At 38.8% G+C, this 20,609-nt stretch overlaps 1 protein-coding gene and 1 long non-coding RNA gene across 4 annotated transcripts in view, besides 1 other annotated feature; one reads left to right on the forward strand and one right to left on the reverse strand.

The window, feature by feature from the left end:
* The window catches only part of LOC100130691 (Putative uncharacterized protein FLJ44553), a 109,184-nt gene extending 89,998 nt beyond the window's left edge, over positions 1-19,186 (reverse strand). The window contains exon 1 of the long non-coding RNA NR_026966.1: positions 19,068-19,186. This is a non-coding gene — a long non-coding RNA (Putative uncharacterized protein FLJ44553). The remainder of the gene's footprint in view (positions 1-19,067) is intronic.
* Positions 19,268-19,487: a silencer, noted in NCBI's record as "silent region_12147". NCBI's record gives its function as "represses an Ori minimal core promoter by ATAC-STARR-seq in GM12878 lymphoblastoid cells {active_cell/tissue: GM12878}" and the evidence as "EXISTENCE:reporter gene assay evidence [ECO:0000049][PMID:35858748]".
* The window catches only part of AGPS (alkylglycerone phosphate synthase), a 151,062-nt gene continuing 149,720 nt past the window's right edge, over positions 19,268-20,609 (forward strand). For 2 of the 3 annotated variants that reach the window (NM_003659.4, XM_047446105.1), the window contains exon 1: positions 19,268-19,544. In NM_003659.4, the coding sequence (NP_003650.1) occupies positions 19,285-19,544 (260 nt within the window). In that variant the 5' untranslated portion in view covers positions 19,268-19,284. The other variant, XM_011512041.3, reaches the window with a different exon arrangement.

Genomic DNA, 20,609 nt, shown 5'->3' on the forward strand with positions numbered 1-20,609 from the left:
TTGCCTGGGTATCACCAGGAGATGCTGCAGAACAGCTAAGATTGCTGCCTGCTCCTTCCTCTGGAAGCTTCGTCCCAGAGGGGCACCTGCCAGATGCTGGCCAGAGCTCTTCTGTATGAGGTGTCTGCCGTCCCCTGCTGGGAGGTGTCTCCTAGTCAGGAGGCATGGGGGTCAAGGACCTACTTGAGGAGGCAGTCTGTTCCTTAGCAGAGCTCAAGCACTGTGCTGGGAGATCCACTGCTCTCTTCAGAGCCAGCAGGCAGGAATGTTTAAGTCTGCTGAAGCTGCACCCACAGTCATCCCTTCTTCCCCCAGGTGCTCTGTCCCTGGGAGATGGGAGTTTTATCTACAAGCCCCTGACTGGGGCTGCTGCCTTTCTTTCAGAGATGCCCTGCCCAGAGAGGAGGGATCTAGAGAGACAGTCTGGCTACAGCAGCTACATCGGTGGGTTCCGCCCAGTCTGAACTTCCTGGTGACTTTGTTTACACTTAGTTGGAAATGCAGAAATTACCTGCCTTCTGCATTGGTCTTGCTGGGAGCTGCAGACCAGAGCTGTTCCTATTCGGCCATCTTGTCAGGATCCTGCATGTCTTTTCTCATTTATGTTTCTCTCATCTTGCCTCTATACAATGAAGACCGTCCTTCATGTTAGCCTGATTACCAAATTTTTTTTGAAGATCTGTCTTATTTTTTTAAAGGCTTTTTGTACAGTTTTGTTGTTGTTGTTGTTGTTTTTTCTTTTGAGACAGAGTCTTGCTCTGTTGCCCAGGCTGGAGTGCAGTGGTGCTATCTCTGCTCACTGCAGGCTCTGCCTCCAGGTTTAAATGATTCTTTTGCCTCAGCCTCCCAGGTAGCTGGGATTACAGGTGCATACTATTATGCCTGGCTAATTTTTGTACTTTTAGTAGAGACAGGGTTTCACTATGTTGGCCAGGCTGGACTCAAACTCCTGACCCCAAGTGATCCACATGCCTTAGCCTCCTAAAGTGCTGGGATTATAGGTGTGAGCCACCACACCCGGCCTCTTTGTACAGTTTTTAAAAACCATTTTGTTCTTGCAATGATTTTATTACCTGACCATTTGATGTCACAAGAACATCAAACTATTTTCTTGTGGACACTCTGCTCCTGTCCTACTTTCATTAACACTCTAGAGCAGTAGTTCTCAAACTTTAATGTTCATCAAAATCATCTGGAGGGTTTGTTCCAACACATATTGCTGGGCCCCATTCCCAGATTTCTGACTTAGTAGATGCAGGGAAGGGTCTCAGAATTTACATTTCTTACAAATTCCCAGCAATGCTGATGTTGCTGGTCTGGGGACTAGACTTTGAACCAATGCTCGTTAGGATTATCTGGACAACTTTTAAAACATACATATAGATGCTGTGATCCTACCTCCCAGAGATTTGAATCAAATAGGTGTTAGGTGTGGCACTGCTCTTTAAAAATAATTCCCTAGTGATTCAAATAAACAACCAGTATTGGGAACCACTGACCTAGAGGTTGATGAAAATTAGATTTTAAAAAGCCAGCATGCCTGCCTCCCTACCTCTTGCAACGCTTTCCTTCCACGAACATTTGCTAAGTATTAGTAATGGTAAAGGTATCCTGCAGAGATTATGCACATAAAAGAGTTGCCTATGATACGGTTGTTGTCCTCTAGTAGTTACTATAGTATATGGTAGATATAGATGTATACATAAACATCTACAATATAAGAAAATATAAAATCCATACAGGCCATTTGGATTTGAATCAAACATATGAACCAAACAAAGTATGACAGAAGAGTGCAGGGGTAGGGGGGTAACTTCTAGATAAACGAGGAGGCATTATGAATGGCGGTTGTCGGGGAGGTGTTTTCTACATAATAAAATGGTTGGCAAGAAACCCTTTTTGTTAGGGGAATAGTGCATGAAAAATCTTGGAAGGTAATTTGGGGGCAAATTTTGAACAGCCTTATATGCCAGAAGACAATAACGGTAGTATTGAATGTTTTCAGCAGAGCTGTCAGCGTGGCAAGAATTTACAGGATGAAGTGGAAAGTGAAAAACAAATAGAAGCCTTGTCTAGGTATTAGAGACAGTGCCCTGATTATGGGGGGTAGTTTTCAAATTAGAGTTTTTTAATTAAAAAATATGAAAAAGAGTTTTACTTAGTTGATAACAGTTTTGAAGTAATAAGATGACAAAGTATTTGCAAATATTCATTTTAAATTTCTCTGTAAGTTATTGGGGGAGGTGTACCCTTAGGCAGAATTTGGATAGAGGAACACATGACTGATCCTGGATATAGGTTTGCTCTGTCTGACCTCTCATAACCCCCTTTTAGGTGCCTAGTGTTCTGATGGTATCTCCATTCTGACCTATCAAAACTCGCTCTTAGGAAAAAATGTGACATCAATCATTTATTCTCTGGACTAGAGTATTTGAGGTTTCTCTTACATGTTTGTATAAAACAAGATTTCCTACTCTCCCATCACTGCCCCCTACCTCACACACACATACACAAATCATACAGAACAAACTTCTTTCTATGGTTAAGGCCAAGCCAGTCTGTCGGAGTTCCTCAAAAATAAATATATGAGAAAGGAATTAGACCTACTGCTATGATCAACAATGTCTTTCCCTGGGGGGAAAAGTGTCTGCTAAAGTGAAACTAAAAAGAAGACCCACATAATTCACCAGGTAAATATAATAATTCAAAGTGTGAGCCCAAGGGGCTCAATATCTTGATCCTAAACTATTTAATTCTCTGTTAAAGGATAACAAAGATTTTAATTTTTTGGGTGATGTTGTTTAGGGGCTTTATCCTAGAAAAGTACCAAAAAAAAAAAAAACTCCTTTGAAGATATATCAATGAATTATCTTAACAAGAAAACACCTGACAACACTATAATTCCATATGTTCTGGTAACATCAAGAGAGAGCTCAAAAAGGAATCTGCACCTCAGAATTGTAGGATATTGAGAGTACTATTGAGTTGGGAGGAGATAAAGATTGATAGTGACGACTATTAGACTCAGAATGAATGGTCATATGCATCAAACTTTTTCCATTAAAGAGAGTTAATTTATTATCTTACTGACTATAAAAATGAGTGATTATATTTCTCTTTTACCAATAAGTAAAATTATTAGAAAGATGATTTCTTTCACAACTGTTATGAAAGTGAAAAGATGTCACTTATCTTTTCCTTTCCCTTCTTCTACCTAAATAATCATCCTTTAGTTTGCATAGTTAACCATTTTTAGGGCTACTTTTGAGTATGCTATTACTCTCTTTTTATTTAATGTGTTTTATTCATAATTGGAGACTCTCCATCACTCATTCCCCCTCAAGAACAACTATAATGAGACATCACTGGACATGAAAATTACAGTAAGGTAACCCAGAAACAGCAGTTACTATTATTGTAACCTGAGGGAGAGCAGCATCCAAGAAGTCTTACAAAAGGTTTGTGTCAAACAATAAAAGCAATCTCCGAGGGACCAGATCACTGATTGATGAAGTGCTTTGCCAATTTAGGCAGTAAGAAGCTGTTTAATTATACCAAAGCAGTATTGCAGACTACCTCAAGCTGTTCTCTATTTTTGATGAGATGATATCTACTTGCCAATAGAGTGCATGATTTACTATTATAATCTGATCAACATCATAGTTGAACAAATATGATTCTCCTGGTGGACTGAAATTTATCTACTACTTCAGTGGTTTACCCATATCAATTACAATGAAGTTATTGGATTGAGGTTGTGAGCAAAGTCACATTTTGTTCTGCACTGATGACCTGCATTCTGAAAGTATGGTAGGAAATCCAAAATATTTTCAAAACCACTTGTGCTAGAAATCACTACCTAAGTGTAGTTTTAGAGATGAATACAGAGAAAGAGATTGAAACATAACTTTTAATATATTCTGTATAAACTGAGGCCTAGGGATAGCTAGGGTCTTCAGTGTTTAAAGTTTCTGTTTTTTCCCAAGGCCTCCAGTTGAGGGTATGGGAGATCATTTTCTTCTTGAGTTGAGATTTTAAGATTGCTGAAGGCAGAAACCATATGTTGTATTTCTTTTCTCTTCTACCATGATTCCTTGGTTGAGGTGGTCAAGGTTAAGAATAAACAAGGCAGGCTAGAGTATTTGTGCCATGTCAGATTGAAGCCTACCAGGAGTGGGACTAGAAGCTAGGAGCTGAGCTTTGCACACATAACCCCATCTGGGAATGGTGGGGATAATACAAAATTTAGCAGCCATTGCTATTGTTCTTCTCTACATCTATGAATACAGATAAACTCAGCAAGCCCCTGGTTTGAGTGCTTGATGGCAGTACTCCGCTCTTACATTCAGATATTTATAGTATTAAAGCATTTTGAAAGTTTTACATAATTGGAAGTCATTGTTTAGCTCCCTATCTTTTGACTTTAGTAACAAAGCCATCTCAGATAGATTGGGGTCCAACTATAATTCTTTTAAAGACAATCCTTGCAAATCTATTTTCATATATCTTATCTCTAGTATTTAGAAGTTATTTCTTTTCTTTTATTCCACCTGTAGTAGCCAGTCTTCAAAAGGTCCCCAATGATTTCTGCCTCTTGAAATTCACATCCTTCTATTGTCCCCTCCCACAACCGACTAAGGTTGATGTGTAATGACCAACAGGATAAGACAGAAATGATGGTATGTCACTTCTAAGACTAGATTCCAAATGACCGAAGCTTCTATTATGGACCCTCTCTCATTTACTTGCTGTCTTAATTATCTTTTTTCTCTCACTTCTCTCTGTCTGATGGCTTACTCTGTGGGAAACCAGCTGCCATTTCATAAGGACACTCGAACAGCCTATGAAAGACCCTTGGGGTAAGTAACCGAGGCTGGTTAACAGCCTTGTGAGTGAACTTGGAAGTGGATTATCCAGCCCCAGTTAATCCTTGAGATAACTGTAGCCCTGGATAACAGCTTGATTGCAACTTTTTGAGAGACTGTGAGCCAGAACCACCCACCAAAGTTGTTCCTGGGTTCTTGAGTCTTAGAAATGATGTAAGATAATAAATGTTTGTTGTTTTAAGCTGCTAAGTTTTGGGGTAATTTATTACCCAGCAATAGTTAACCAATATAACATAACTGCATTGAAATGTAACATACTGGCTTTATGGTTAGGTTGAAGAAATGACATCTCTTGCTCTTTTCTGCAGGTGGCCGTTAATTGCTCACCAGTGCTTTGTCAAAGTACTTTGCCACTTTGCTTTTTGCAAAACTACTGAACACAGTAATTGACCTGATCATATCTTGATTCTCTGAAAGAGTTCATTCAATTCATAGAGGATGAACACATTACTCTAAGATATCTATTTACTTACATTGGTTTACCATTGGCTTGTCCCTGCAATTATCAAAACTGCTAGGTGATTAAATAGTATAATGTGTTTTATAGCTGTTTTCCTCATCTCTCACTTTCACAAATGTGGGGTAGTATTAGTATCAGTGAATACTGGAGAAATCATGACATTAAAGTTACTGACTAGCTGAGGCCACTAGGATGACTGATCAATTTACATTTATGGAGTGGCATGGTTAGCATATTTGATATCTGAGTGATGGGACAGGTCATGCATGCTAAAATTTTTGCTCTTTCTTTATACTCTACTATCCTCTCTAAATTTTTTTTACAATATTCACTGATGGTTTTTGAAATAGTAATAAAAGGACAGGCTAAGTTAAAAAATTATTTTAATTTAATTTTTATTTTTGAGACAGGGTCTCGCTCTGTCACCCAGGCTGGAGTATAGTGGCACTATCTTGGCTCACTGCAACATCCACCTCCCAGGTTCAAACAATTCTCCTGCCTCAGCCTCCCAAGCAGCTGGGATTACAGGTGCATGCTACTGCACCTGGCTAATTTTTCGTAGTTTTAGTAGAGACAGGGTTTTACCATGTTGGCCAGGCTGCTCTCAAACTCCTGACCTCAAGTGATCTGCCTGCTTGGCCTCCCAAAGTGCTGAGATTACAGAGTGAGCCACCACACCCAGCCTAAGTGAAACATTTAAATACACTTTTACATTTTTTATTATGGAAAACTTGAAAACACACCCAAGTAGAGCATACCCGAACCCTCATGTATCCATATCCCGGCTTTCACATGGCCATTCTTGTCTTGTTTATCCTCTAATCCACTTGCTGTGTTCCTTGCTAACTACCTGCATTGGATTATTTGGATGCAAATCCAAGACATCCTCGTTTTCCATAAGACAAGGTAACCAATATTCTTAGTACAAAGCTGGGAAGCAGGAGCTCACCTGTTGTTCTCACTGATGGGTTCTAAGGAAAGTGTGAGTTCCCATAAATATGTTTGTATTTCAGGCACGTTACATGACTGATCATCAACCTATATTATTTCTTCCAAGGTAAAACTCAATTTTCACAGAGTTTTATGGTGATATTATAAATTCACATTCTGAATTTTGGGTTTGAAGGTAAATATAACTTTTTTTCCTGAAATTTTAAGATCCACCAGGGAGCTGGAAGTTCCACAGATTGGTTTTAATAAACAAACTCCCTCAATGATGAGTGGTCTTTTGAAGAGCATGGTTAGAACTTGGGATTGTGCTTCTCATGACTACAAATGTACTTGTAGCTTAGGTGCAAAAGGGTAGGTCAGTGGGTAGCTAACTACTGAGGATTGATTTTCCTGACGCTGGTGTTTAAGTGTCACCCAGAACTGGCATATAAAGTGGCTCATTCACCCAAGTATCTTCCTTTCCTTTTTACAAAATCCTTGGCTGTTGTGGGGCCTACATCTCTTCATGATTATTATTGCATCTGGTGTCATGTTTTTCCAGCTGGTGTACTGCTTCCCTGTAGGCTTCTTGATGTTCACTCCTCCAGCAGCCTCCTGCCCCCTCGAGGGAGCTCATCCTATGACCCTGCTCTACACAGGCAACCTTTCTAACCTGAGCTGTGATTACATGGATAGGTTTAGAAGCTGTTTATGGATCATACATATGGCTCATCATAAAAAAAGAGTGTTAGGATTGATTAAAATTTCAGTTATGTGAATTTCGACTTTTCTTCTCCCCAAACATCACATACAAACAAAGCAGTATATTACTTTTGATCCAGTAGCTTTGGCTTAAAAAAAAAAAAAAAAGAAACGAAGGTGCTGATAGTCCGTGATACTTGAATGCCTTCAAAACAGAAATAAAAAATTAATATCTAACACTTTCAAACATACCATTATTTTGCATAAACACTTAAAACAAGCTGGATCAAGGACGTATTTTGAGGACTATATGCAGAGGATCTGACAATGTCCTGAAAGAGTGTATTTTATAAAAAGAATCCCCTTTAGCAGAATTTGTTGGCCTCCTAGTGACCATCCTCATGTTCCTGCCTTGCAGTCTGGCTATGAGTGGTTCTATGCATGGCTCTATTTTGAGGTGTGTCCCCTGCTTTGGCTTCTCCTAGGAGGACCTTCTGGAATTAGCCTCAGCTGTCTTCCCATGACTTTGTCTCTTGGCTCATAGACTGACCCTCATTTTTCTCTTCTCATTTCTCTCTAGTCCTGCATCATACTGACCCAGGTTGAAAAAACAGGAAAAAAGATGAGCCTAAAAGAAAGGAAAAACAAGAAAGTGAGGATGTTAAAAAAATGAAAGAAATTAAGAGCGTGAAGAAGCTACCATATTTCTTTGCTTAAAAATCTAGTCATCAAATATATCAACATTAAAAAAATAGATTTCAAAAACAGATATTGCTTCTTTCAGTAGCAGATTTAGGGACGCAGTGGGAACACTGCATGGGTGATTAACAGGTCATTTTAAACATTTGATTCAAAGTAGCTTTCATGCTTTTTCAGGCTTCAGGATTATTATTGCTTGTGGTAGGAGGTGGTGCCATGGTTCAGTTAGACTAGAGAGAAAACTTATTTGACTGTGAAAAAATAAGGATGGGATGACCATTAGAGGTATGTGTACTCCTAATATACTCACAGTAGCTTTCTTACAGCTAAGCTAAGCAGTGGGGAGCAAAGTCAGCTTCCCCTTTCAGAAAAGAAAATAATGGGAAATGGTGACTAGAGAGAGAGCTAAGGGCCACTTGGGAGGATTAAGCAGGCAGGATACTCTCTCTGTAAATTCTCCTGAATAGAGAATAGGGAGTCCTAAGAGAGTCTATAGTCCTGAAATAGTCAAAGGCAGAATTAGTAAGAGATGATTATAAGCCTCTGAAGACCACTGACTTTTGCCACATCCTCAGACCCAGCTTTCTCTGGGGCTCTGGGGGAGTCTTAGCGCATGCAGAGACTTGGTTCATCTCTTTGCCCCAGAAGAATACTTTCAGTCAATGGAAAAAAGCAATTCCTATCATATCTGAATTAAGATAGAAAAGACTTGCCTTTGAGAATATCACTTCCTTTTGGGTGCTTGGTAGTTATTGTCTACAAAGGATAAAGGTGGTCAGATGAAAAGAACTAAGAAACTTGGAGGTATGAAAAGGCCAAGTGCTAGGATTTATGAATAAACAATTTCCAAGCTATGCTCTCCATAGCATTAAAAAAATCATCTTGGGAACAACTTACCCAGAACATCTTTTAACTATTTACCACTGATCTAAATGCAATGATAAAAATAACTTTGTGACCCTAAAATGGAAGTGAATCAGATCTTACAAAGTAACTTAAATCATGCTATATCACAAAAGTCACACTAAATTCAGCTATCCCGTTTATAGGAATCATCATGTTTGTGTTCATATCTGGATTGGATTTGGAAATTTGATTTTGAAGTGTAGGAATGACTTTCAATATGTGATTGCTTATGACTTTCAAAATGTGATTATATGAAATTGAAATATACATATATTTCATACATATCAATATGTGAAATTATTCCTTAAATAGTTTTTGCAACTTTGTTTTATTAATAGTGGCATTATATATTACTTCTGGCAATTGGTTGTCTAGAGCTTCCTCAATGCATGTTTTAGCAGATGTTTTTAGAAATATTTCAGAGCTGCAGTTCTCAAGATGTCATCTGGAAACCCCCGTGGGTCCTTGAGACCCTTTCAGTGGGTCAGCAAGGTCAAAACTATTTTCATAATAAGACTAAAATGTTATTTGTCTTTTTCACTCCCATTCTCTCATGAGCGTAGAGTGGAGTTTTCCAGAGGTTACACAGCGTGTGATATCTCAAAAGATGAAATTCAAAAGCAGATATGAGAACCCGGCTGTCTTCTACTAAGTCAGAAGCCAGGCATCAAAGATATTTCTGAAAATGTAAAGGAATATCATTCTTCTCATGTTTTTTTTCTGGAAAATATGTTTTTTTTTAAAAAAATAAAGCATGTTATTATAATATGCATTGGTTTATCATTCTTTCTAAGTAAATTGATAAATCAAGACTTTAAATATTTTTCAATTTTAATTTCTAATATGTTATAGTTGGATAGATGTAAATATAAACAGAAGCTCTTTGTGGGGCATGGTGATCTCAATTTTTTTTTTTTTTGCAAAAGGGTCTTGCTCTGTTGCCCAGGCTGGAGTGCAGTGGCGTGATCATGGCTTACTGCAGCCTCGACCTCGTACCTCACTACCTCAGCCTCTCAAGTAGCTGGGACCATAGGCAGGCTCTACCATGACTGGCTAATTTCTTAATTTTTTGTAGAGGTGCAGGTCTCCCTATGTTGCCCAGGCTGACCTCAAACTCCAAGGTTCAAGTGATCCTCCCACCTCAGCCTCCCAAAGTGTTGGGGTATAGGTGTGAGCCACCACACCTGGCTGGGTCTCAATTTTTAATATTATAAAGGGATCCTAGAGACTAAAAAGTTTAAGAATTGCTGCTTTAGAGGTGTTTTGTTGTTGTCATTGTTGTTTTGTTTTGTTTTTGAGACAAGGTCTCGCTCTGTCGCCCAGGCTGGAGTGCAGTGGTGTGATAATGGCTTATTGCAGCCTGAACCTCCCAGGACTAAGCAATCTTCCCGCTTCAAACCCCCCACCCACCCCTAGTAGCTGGGACTACAGGCATGTGCCATTATCCCTGGATAACTTTCTGTATTTTCTGTAGAGGTGTGGTTTCGTCATTTTGCTCAGGCTGGTCTTGAACTCCTTGGGATCGAGCCATCGGTGCAGCTCAGCCTCCCAAAGTGCTGGGATTACAGGTGTGAGCCACTGCGCCCCGCCTGTTTGAGTATTGATATTGGTAAATATCAAATCTTGATTATATATATTCCAATAAAAATAATTATTTTAAAGTGATTTTTGACTTGGGTTCCCAAAATACTTGTGCATCTATCATTTTACAATAAATCTGAGATGTAGGCAAGTCAGAAATTATTCCTACTTAAAATATGAAAAAAATCAAGAAATCAAGAATTTTAGATTGCATACTAAGTTAGCAGAAGAGAAATTATACATAAGGTACTTTCAACTCTCTCCCAGTTATTTGGCTAATTTTAAAATTAGCCTTTTGCCCTGTACACTTCAGTGTAATTGTGACATCCAGGAGCACAGTGAATGGCATTGTGACACAACATGGAACTACCTGCAGCCACTTTCACATTAAACGTCTTCACCTCCTGAGCTAACTCACTTCCCTTTACTGCAACAGACAGCTAACCATAGTTCAATGCTTTCCTGTCATTCAAACACTGTAATCTTCTTTCTGTAGTTGTTTAGGTCTTCATCCTTTCTCAGTACAACTTTTTACAATGGCCAACAGGTTCTCGGGTATACCCAACAGGTTGACTTCCACTTGGGAGAAAATTCCAAAGTAGTGATCTCTTCAGGCTTGTCATGCTAATTCCATGCTCAAGAGCTTCTAAAAGCTCCCACCAGCAAAAGTTTTTACTCTTTTGCTAAGTTTTCAATGCTCCCACGGTTGGTCTCACCTTACCCATTTAATTTTATTTCTCTTCCCTCTACCAATAATTAATTTTTTCCAGGAAGACTGTCTTCCTTATACTAGCTTCACTTCCCCTTCAATAATAGCACTTAGAATTTCTGTTTTTGCTCATTAATCCTTTAATGCTCCTGCGAACCAAGCCCAGGATCAAGACAACATATTTGGCCATGGTAGAGCCAATATTCAAACCTAGGTGTGTGTAGCACTGAAGCCACTGCTCTTAGCTATTATACCAACTATATTAGTAATTCAATTACATTAAAATGGGCTAAATGACCCACGATTGTATGCTCAGATTGGTTAAAAGAAAACATCTAAATGCATTTACAAGAGACACATCTAAAATATATGGATACAAAAAGATGAAAAGTTATAGGATGGAATTATAAACACACTCACAAAGCTGGTGTAGTTAAACTCTAAAACAAAAACCATTATTAGAAACAAAGAGGGACACTTGATAATTATAAAAGGTTCAGTTTGCCAGAGAAATATAACAATTTTGATATATCTAATACATAGCTTCAAAATAGAGAAAATAAAAATTAGCAGACCTACAAGGAAAAATGAATAAATCTATAACAGTGGAATATTTCAACATACTATCAATAACTAATAGAATAAGTAGATAAAATACCTTTGATTTAAAAGATTTAAACAATATAATCAGCAAATTTGAACAGGCATTATATGGAACTCTATACTCCCAAACAAGAAAGAATACTTATTCTTTTTAAATACAAAAGTGAATTATTTATAAGTGAATAATAGTGAAAATACAGTTATTAAAACTTGAAGGAATAAAGTGTGTTGCTTAGAGAGAAATTTATACCCCATAGAGATATAGTCTCTAAAAAAAAAAAACTGCCAGAATGGTAGCACACACCTGTAATTCTAGCTACTCAGGAAGCTGAAGTGGGAAGATTGCCTGAACCCAGGAGTTCCAGGTTACAGTGACCTATGATCATGCCACTGCCCTCCGGCGACAGAGTGACCTTGTCTCAAAAAAAAAAAAAAAAAAAGTAAAGAAACAACAAACAAGTATAAATAGAAAATCCAAATAGCATTATGTTATTTAATCTATGAATAAAAACCTTCCCATAAAGAAAACTCTAGGTTCAGATTGTTTCTTTGGTGAATTCTACCAGACATTTAAGGAAGAAATAATGATCAATCTTATACAAACTCTTCTTGACACTAGAAAACAAAGGAGTACTCATTAGCTTGTTTCATGAGGTCAGCAAAACCTGACATGAATATTACAGAAAGAAAAATTTCTTTTAAATTACTTTTAAATATAAATATACTTTTAAATATAAATACAAAAATCCCTAAACAACATTTTAATATACTGTATTTAGTAATATATAAAAAGGTCAATATCTCATGACCAGGTTGGGTTTATGCCAGGATTACAAGGTTTCCTTAACAGTAGAAGGCCAATCCTTATAATTTACCTTACTAACAGAGTAAAAGAGAAAAATCATATGATTATCTCAACAGATACAGAAGCCACCCCTGCCACCAGCCCATGCTTTTTTTTTTAAGACAGAGTCTTGCTCTGTCACCCAGTCTGGAGTGCAATAATAGCACAATCTTAGCTCACTGCAACCTCCGCCTCCTGGGTTCAAGTGATTCTCCTGCCTCAGCCTCCTGAGTAGCTGGGATTATAGGTGTGTGCCACCAAGCCTGGCTAATTTTTGTATTTTTAGTAGAGATGGGGTTTCGCCATATTGGCAAGGCTGGTCTTGAACTCCTGGCCTCAAGTTATCTGCCTGCCTCCGCCTCCCAAAGTGCTGGGATTACGAGCGTGAGCCACCATGCCCGGCAAGAAAAAACATTTGCTAAAATTCAATATCCATTCATGATAAAAACTGTTGGCAAACTATGATCAAAAGTGGAGTTCCTTAATCTGCTAAAAGGTTTATTAAAAAAGCAAAACATCAGAACCCTACTTCAAACAATGGCAAAATGTGGAGAGATTTCCCTTGGAAATCAGGAACATTATAAGGTTGCCATCATCTAAACTTCTATTCAACATTGTACTGGAGGTCCTAGCCAGCTGGGTAAGGCAAGAAAAAGCACAAGATATAACAATTGAAATGGAAGAAATCAACTGTCATTATTCACAAATGATATAATTCTATGTAAAAGATCTAGAAGAATATATAATAGTTAAGATAGTGTGATACTGATACAAAGTTGATAGATAAACCAATGGAACAGAATAGAGAGCCCAGCAATACATCAGTGCTTATATGGACACTCGATCTATGACAGAGGTGGCAATGTCAAACAAGAGCTTTTCAACAAGTGGTGCTGAGACAACCCCCCATACCAATGTGGGGGAAAAAAAAAAAACTTGACCTCTACTCCATAAACACCAAAATCAATTCCAGGTGAACTATAGATATAAATATGAAAGGCAAATCGATATAGATATGAAAGTCAAAAAAGCCTTATAAAAATAAGGCTTCTAGAAGATAATACAGGAGAATTACCTTCACTACCTCAAAGCAGAAAAAGATATCTTAAACAGAACACAAAAAATGTCAAATAAAGGAAAAGGTTGGTAAATTTGGTCACAATGAAAGTTAGATCTATTGCTCTTCAAATATCACTATTAGGCAAATAAAAAGGCAAATCACATAATGAAATTAGAAATTTGCAATACATCTATCTGAAAAAGGCTCATATCTGAAATATATAAATAATTCTTACAAATCAATAAGACGATGACAGGTAACCAACTGAAAGATGAATAAGAGCCTTGAACAGGAGTTTCACAAATAACGACATCCAAATAGTCAACAAACACATAAAAAGGTGCTTGATCTCATTAGTAATCAGGGAACTGCAAATTAAAACCACAATAAGATAATAGTACACATCTACCAGAGTGACTGAAACTAACTAGATTGACAATAACACATATTAGAGCAATGGGAACTTTCATATACTGCTAGGGCAGCAAATTTTGTAAAATCCCTTTGGAAAATAGATTGGTGTTTCATTATCTATTACAGTTAAGCACAGTTAAACATATGTACACTTTCTGACCTAGGAATTCCACTCTTAGATGGATACTCAACAGAAATTCACATGCCTGTACACCTAGAGACATCTACAACAATGTGCATAGTAACGCCTATCCATAGTAGTATGAAACTGGAAACACTTCGAATGTCCATGTCTATTAATTGTCGAAAAGATAAACTCTGATATATGGATTTAATAGAATACTATACAGCAAATAAAATAAATGCACAACTACAACGTTATTAAAACTCATAAAGATAATGTTGAATGAAAGAAACCAGACACAAAAGAACATATCATAATCTTCTATTTATATAAATGCAAAAAACAGGAGCAGGTAAAAGATATATGCTTAGTTGATAAAACCATAAAAAACAAACAAGGAAGTGCTTATCATACATCTAGGACAATGGTTACCTTTGGTGGCAGGGAGAGTGCATAAAGTGATTGGGAGAGAGCATAAGGGGGACTTCTGGATTCTGTAATGTTCTATTTCCTGACCTAGATGGTAGATTAAAGGTGCTTGATTTGTGATAATTTATGCTTTGGTTCACTTTTCTCTGTGTTATATTTCACAAAAAAGGGTATAAAAATCCAAGAATTCCTATATTTAGGGATCACTCAGAAGCTCAGAAGACAAGTAATGAAAATCAGAGCAATAAAGAAATTTGGTGCATGATTCCAGGAGTTAATCTATCCTATTTAGACTTTTTTTTGTGCCTCAAGTTAGAAGATGTCATGAATGCAAATAAATCCACTCCATTGAAAATTACAGGTCATACATTCACTGCTTGTTTCTGTGCATGTGGTCTGTTCTCAATTAAGAGCCAAGTGTCCCAGGACTCAGAAAGGACAGGTTTGTTGAGATGGCCCACCTAAAAGTGATATTCACTGAGGTTTTAATTTTTGTGGAAATCACAAGAATCTCGATGGACTTGGCTTCATATGAAATATCTGTTCCTCTGGTAGCATGAATTCAGGGTATCCTGCTTGGGTTCTACTTTTGTATGGAGAGGTGGTAGGAAACTCTTCATCAAGGTCACCTTCATCCTTATTCCCACTAATAGTATTACATAATTTTTTTCCCACTTACGGACTGACTTCTAACTAGCCTGATTATACCATGTAAATGAGGCATTGGCTTAAACACTTTTGCATCTCATAGCACCTAGTAGTGAATTAGGTACATGATAGGCTTTCAACAAATGCTTTTACCGTCTATATGTTTTCATTATTGTACACATATTTAAAATATATACAATCAGTAGTTTTCCTACTGGTACATAATTTTGGTTTACATTAAGCTTTTCATCACCCAGAAGAAAGCTTTTTGTTACTCTGTTAATATCTGCAAAATTTATAAATTTTTGCCTTCTGAGAGTTGGCAAGAAGCATATCTATAACTTAATTTGGACAAGGAAGCAGTTAACTACATTTACATTTAAAGTATTTTAGTAGTGTCAGATTGAGCACTCCAGGGAGTCAGGCAAAAATTAACAGATCCTTCCGAGCTTGACTGGATAGTGCTCGAACAATCGCTTAAGATCTGGAGATCTAGCACAAAAATCAAGTCCTCCTCATTGTCTGCCTTTTCTCAGAACCATTAAATAGTTATTTTACATTAGTCAAACAACTCTTAGAATGTCTTAACTTTTTTACAGAGCCTGTGTTACAAAGGAGGTGGTGAATCAGAAAGGAGGTAACTGCATAGGCTTGGAAACCTTACAGAAACCCTTTTTCTTACCATTCCCAAAACTTACCTTTGACTTGCACATTACATAGAAATAAACTTATTTCTGATGGTTGGATCTGCAAGATGGCTTGTAAAAGCCTATCTAATCCATAATGTACTGGAAATGGTATTATTTTGACCACACCTAATCATTTATAGCATTTTTTTTTCTGACAAAAATACATTTACAGCCCTAGGTCAGTATGCAAGGGACAAATACTTCTCGCATATTTTTCTTCTCCATACCCCAGTGTGGGTTATAACAGTAGTATGGGAAAAGTAAGGTTGATATCTCCAGGCACCAGTAACTTAAACTCTACAACTGTGCTATCAAATATAGTCACCATGATCCACATAAGGCCATTTAAGTTTAAATTAATTAATTAAAATTAAAAATTCAGTTTCTCAGTTATCCTAGCCACATTTCAAGTGCTCATAGTCACATATAACTAGCAGTGACAGTACAGATACAGAACATTCCCATCATCTTGGAAAGTGCTCTTCTATGAGGTAACTTTCTACATTAAATATTAGCTAGGCATTTTCCCTTCCTTCCTTCCTTCTTTCTTTCCCTTTTCTTTGCATTTTTTTTTTTTTTTTTTTTTTTTGACAAGGTCTCACTCTGTTGCCCAGGATGGAGTGCAGTGGCACAGTCTCGGCTCACTGGAACCTCCATTAGCTAGGCATTTTCACATGGGCGAAAAGAGGAAAACAGTTCCTATGGGGACTGTGGCTCAGTGTCTCTCCCCAGATTCAAAGTGACGAGTCACTTATAAATTAAGTATAAGTCTCAGATTCTTATGTGGGATATGAACTCTGTCTTCATGGAGTTTATGGCCTACTGGGAGTAACAGACATGAGTAAATGAAAAGTTAATTAACATATAAAGGCAGTATATGATAAATGATAAGCAAGAGGATAAATTCTCAGGGAAAGAATAGATTTAAGAGACACAGAGGATAATGTACTGTTGATGTACTTAATATAAAAAGCAAAAGAGGAAAAGGCTGAAAATAACCCTGAGGTTGATGGAACAGGATGACAGTGGCACTTTGGTGGACTATAGGGAAGCATAAAAGGGAGGGGAAAATGAGCTCAGTTTCTACCCCATTCAAGGAAGCACATGGAGAATCACGGGATTACATTCTTGCAAAAACAAAAAATGACCTACTGTATCAAAGGCTACAGGACATCTCAATTCAATAACTGATAGGTCTAGACAGCTGTTATCATATTTCTCTGCAACAACTTCATCAGTGACATCTGAGATTGGATTCTAAAGATACAGGAGGAAGTAAAACATGAGGAAATGGAGGTAATGCCTAGATGAACTGAGGGGATAGTATACAGGAATAATTCTTGGCTCATTAATTATTGGATTGAGCCACCTCCATCTATCTGTTTTGGAGACTGCTTTATCAGGTCAGAGGAGATGAGTGTGACTTTCTTCAGATTGTGCAAGACAAAAAGAACACCATTAGAATTATGTACATGACACTGGAAGGCAAAGTGGGTTTTAAAATTTTAAAATAAGAGACAATTCCTCTAATTGACAACAAAATCAAGTAAAGGAAAGGAAGCTAGGATTTTTCTTCTGTTATCAAACATGTAGGAGCATATAGCCACTTTTCTGGTCATCAGTTGAATACTGAAAATGTCAATCAGGTGCAACTTCTTTGTTGTGAGGGTAGGCAACAAAGTATGCAAAAGCCAGAAACTAGTGGCTTGCAGGCTTTGATATTTAATTTTACAAGATCAACTAAAGATTCTCTTTTTTCAGTCATAAATACCTAGGAAAGTGCTATATGTGTTTCATGTTCTTGCACCTCATGAATGAGGTCGTGATAGCTGTGGTGGCAATCTCTGAAATTCTTCCCAGAACTCAATCCTTAAGAACCAGGAGTATAGTTTATAATTAAAGTGAAAATTTATTTTAGAAAGTTCAATTTTAGAATCTATAAAATAAAAAACAAAAACCCCAAGCCTACGTAAGTAATTTTAACGTAAAATGTTAATGGCCCCAAACTCTAATGGTGGAATAAGGACAATAACATGAAGTATATGATATTTGAGATAAAATATAGCTATTTAAGAAAAGCTTCTTACTCTCCTTGAGCCTTCATCTATAAAATAAGGATAATAAAACTGTGTCATTGTGTTACTGCAAAGATTGATTAAATAGATACGTATAAGATGCCTAGGTTATGGCCATTTTTTATATTTAACAAATTCCTAATTCTTTCTTGTTTCTACAACTGTACTAAATTATTTTAATAGCTGCAAAAGTATTTTAACATATTGACTAACCATTTCTCTGTTGCTAGACATTTGGACTGTTTTCAATGGTTTGGTATCTCTTCGTATATAAATTTCAGAAGACATTCGGACCTCCTGTAAAGGCCAGGTAATACATATTTTGGGGCTTCTGGGACCACATAAGGTCTCTGTTGCATATTCTTTTAAAAAATTTCTTGTTTTCTTTTAACAACCCTTCTCAAATACAAAAACCATTAGCATGAGGGCTGTGTAAAAACAGGCCACAGACTAGAGCTGGCCCTCCAACAGCAATTTGCTTAGCCCTTAATTGAGAGTTTTTAACCAGTCTGGGCCTCTTTGGAAGTTCACTCTAAAGGCATAATCTCAATTTTAGAAGCTGGCAACACCCAAGAGAGCAATTGTTAGTCTCTAGTCCCATGGATGTGGTGTTCTTCAGATTCCTCTGCCAATATTTTTCTTGTTAGGAAAGCATGATGTGAAAGTGGTGACAGGATGGAGAATGACAATGGCCAGTGTATGTGAGTTTTTGTCTAAGCTAATTCTTATGCAAGACACCGGCTGAAACAGGTGAGGAGCACTTTTCACGTGCTATCTTCCAGAAATGAATTCAATCTGTAAATAACTGAGATGTCTTCACAGCTCTTGGGTAATTTTTGTCTGTAGCAATAAGAAACTTTATCTCTATTAAAGTTAGGAAGGGGTTAGGATCCAGTAATGAATGAAATGAGAACTTAAGTTGCAACTCAGTTTCTGTACTTACTTGTGATCTAGCATTAAACACAGTGCCAGGCACGAAATAGGTGGTGAGAAATAAGAAAATGATAGAGCTATTTGCTCTAATGGTTAGAGGCAATGATGGTCAGCTTTGAGTTACTTTGGTGACCCCGCAGGGAGGAAGAGCACAGGTGGAACATTAGAATCTCTTTCAGGAAAAGGATGCCGCTGGATCCATCAGGTCCAGTAGCACTGCCCATTTCTCCTGCTCCAAGGCATCTGCCCTCGAAAGCCCCCAGGCCACACCCGAGGACACCACCCAGGGTTCTAGGACACCTCGAGGGCGGACGTGGTTTGGCTCTCGGTCCAGCTGGACCGGGCTGGGCCAACCGGGAGTCAGCTCGAACTCACCTGCTTGGCAGGTGCGCGCTTCCCGAGGCGTGACAAGGGAGCGCCGGCGCGGTGGGTGGGGGGCAGAGAATGTGAAGCTCCAGACGCATGGCACCCGCCGCCAAGTCGCCGCGGTGGCTGCCGGGATGCGCCGCAGCGAATGGTCGCGCCGGGCGCCGCTCTGAGTGACCTTTCACCCGCGCCCAGCGGTTCCGGGCGGCAGCACAAGGCGGTAGCCATGGCGGAGGCGGCGGCTGCAGCGGGTGGGACTGGCTTGGGCGCGGGCGCGAGCTACGGGTCTGCAGCGGACCGGGACCGGGACCCGGACCCGGACCGCGCCGGGCGGAGGCTGCGGGTTCTCTCTGGCCATCTGCTGGGCCGGCCCCGGGAGGCTCTGAGTACCAATGAGTGCAAAGCGCGGAGAGCCGCGTCGGCGGCCACGGCAGCGCCCACGGCCACTCCCGCCGCGCAGGAGTCGGGCACCATCCCAAAGAAGCGGTGAGTAGCGGTATGTGGAAGGAGTTAGCGTCGAGGGACCAGGCCGGGCCTGTGCTGCAGGAGGGCACAGGCGAGGTGGGAAGGGAAGTGACACGGGTGGGCGGAAGGCATCCCGGTCCCTGAAAGTAGGGACCCACCTCTCTTTCGAGAGAGTGGACTAGACCCTGGATTCTGTCAGGAAGGGGGCGGGATGGGATGGTGGATTTTGGTCACTATGTGAGGGTAACAGGCTTGAAGAACTCTCGTTGGAGAAGGGTTTAAAGGATTCCTTTTTCCTGAGCTTTTAGTGCCAGGAATTCATTTTTTATCTTGAATTAATACTTTTGGTGCTGAGGTCTTGGAATGGGTAGCAGAGGTTCTATTTTTCTCCGAGGAGATATAAATTTGTACTAGATGATAGATCATAGGAATCTCTCTCATTCGCGAAAGCCTGCTGTGGGGGAAACTGGTGGTGCCCTGGAAAAAGGTGCTGACTGGTTTCTGTGGGGTAAGTTCCACTTGCTTAGGATCAAGATGTATTGACTTTGAGGGAGGAAACCGATGAATGGTAAGAAGCCATAAACTGCAAACACTAGCTAGTGGTTTAAGGTGTGGTGGTATAGCTACTGAGCTCTGTGTAACCAGAAGCTAAAAGACAAGAGTCTAACCGATGAGGGATGTTTGTAAGAGATCTTGACTTTCGATGTTTTTGGAGAAATCTTTTTTTTTTTTTTTGTATTTTTAGTAGAGACAGGGTTTCACCGTGTTAGCCAGGATGGTCTCGATCTCCTCAATCTCTGATGAAGGCTATTAGGAGAAGCTACTTTCTGACGTGTGGCTTTGTCACCGTGGATAAATGGATAAACCGAGAGTGAAAAAAATAAGTAGCTAATGTTTAAAGTGTACTTTTAAGTGTGCCAAAGTGTGCTAAATCCTTTGTTTCTTCCCAAGCTATGAGGTATGTGCGGTTTTCTCCCATTTTACAGATGAATAAATTAAGTCTGCTGGAGTCTTAGCAGATATGCTGTGTGACAGGTTAGAATTTGAAAGCACATCAAATTGACTTCATGGCCAAGTTCCTAAGCT

The sequence above is a fragment of the Homo sapiens genome, chromosome 2 (genome assembly GCF_000001405.40).
Source record: "Homo sapiens chromosome 2, GRCh38.p14 Primary Assembly".
In the NCBI taxonomy this organism is placed as follows: domain Eukaryota; kingdom Metazoa; phylum Chordata; class Mammalia; order Primates; family Hominidae; genus Homo; species Homo sapiens.